The following is a 1,383-nucleotide window of genomic DNA, read 5'->3' as shown; positions in this document are numbered from 1 at the left end:
ACAACAAATACATACAGACCCTTAAAATACAGGAAAGAATGTGAAAAATAAGTATTATCACCATTCCTCAAGTTTCTAGAACAATTTTACTCTTCTCCTTAATATAATTTTTTGTCCAGAAAAGGGAAAGACTAAACTCATGGATAGTTATCCAAAGGAGAGAAGAGAAAATTGTTTGTGGTAAATGAAAGATGCTGCCTACAGTAGCACAAATAATCCCATTCATGGCTACCAGCTTGCTACGCATTGCTTACTTATGCTGCAGGCAACTATTGTTGAAATGACAGGAGGACAGGAAGGCATGAGAAAGGGGCAGACAGCTACTGATGAAAGAGTCATCAACTACTGTAGATACTTCTTGGAGATTGGAAGTTGAATTTTACATTTCTTTATATCCCCAGGTTTAATAAAAAAATTGCTTGTAGGTGTTCAATAAACATTTGATGAATGAATGGGGAACAGTTCAGTTATTTTCCTTGAATCCTAGGCAGGATGATTTGATACACTTTGGATTCTTGAGGTTTTATGAAATTTTAAATGCAAGGCAAACTACTATTTACCCAATTGAAGTCCAAATGTAAGCATTTTATGGTAAACCAGGAGAAAGTAGAAGGCAAAAATGCATTAGCTTAAAACCTAGGACACCAAAATGAAGATCAAATGTATGCATGAAAGTGTGTTAAAGAAAATCATTGCCCTGCCCTGCAGATGCTATCCTGGACTTGCCAGCCCCATAGACACAGTTGCTGTGCTGTGCCTGTACTATTGGAGCAAAGAAAAAGTGGCTATTTCTATGCTCAGTGTTCACAAACCAGTGAGCACTAAGAATGGTTTATAGCCTGACATTTCTTAGAAAAGAAGAAGAAGAAAACTGTTGCATAGTATCAGCTAAATTTGGACATAAATGTTTCCTATGATTCAGTAATTCTTTTTTTTCTTTTTCTTTTTTTTTTTTTTTTTGAGGCACCATCTCGGCTCACTGCAACCTCCACCTCCTGGGTTCAAGCACTTCTCCTTCCTCAGCCTCCTGAGTAGCTGAGATTACAGGCATCTGTCATCACACCTGGCTGATTTTTGTATTTCTTTTAGATACGGGGTTTTACCATGTTGGCCCAGCTGGTCTCAAACTCCTGACCTCATGATCCACCCGCCTCAGCTTCCCAAAGTGCTGGGATTACAGGCGTGAGCCACTGTGCTTGACCTGATTCAGCAATTCTACTCTTAGATATTTATTCAATAAAAATGTGCACACAGGTGCAACAAAAGAAATGCACAACAGCCAAAATTGAAAATAACCCAAACATTCAAATTTGTGTTATATTCATGCAATGGAATATACTATACAGTAATGAAAGTGATAAAACCACAGCTACATGCAATAAC

General features: G+C 37.7%; 1 non-coding gene across 1 annotated transcript; it reads left to right on the top strand.

Annotated features, from left to right (window-relative positions):
* The first annotated feature begins 710 nt into the window (after positions 1 to 710).
* Positions 711 to 848, top strand: LOC124900526 (small nucleolar RNA SNORA43). Its single transcript, XR_007088719.1, has one exon. It is a non-coding gene; the product is annotated as a small nucleolar RNA SNORA43 (small nucleolar RNA).
* The last annotated feature ends 535 nt before the right edge of the window (positions 849 to 1,383 follow it).

This window comes from Homo sapiens, chromosome 2 (genome assembly GCF_000001405.40).
Source record: "Homo sapiens chromosome 2, GRCh38.p14 Primary Assembly".
NCBI classification, from domain to species: domain Eukaryota; kingdom Metazoa; phylum Chordata; class Mammalia; order Primates; family Hominidae; genus Homo; species Homo sapiens.
The sequence above is the reverse complement of the archived record's forward strand: the minus strand, read 5'-3'. Positions and strand labels throughout refer to the sequence as shown.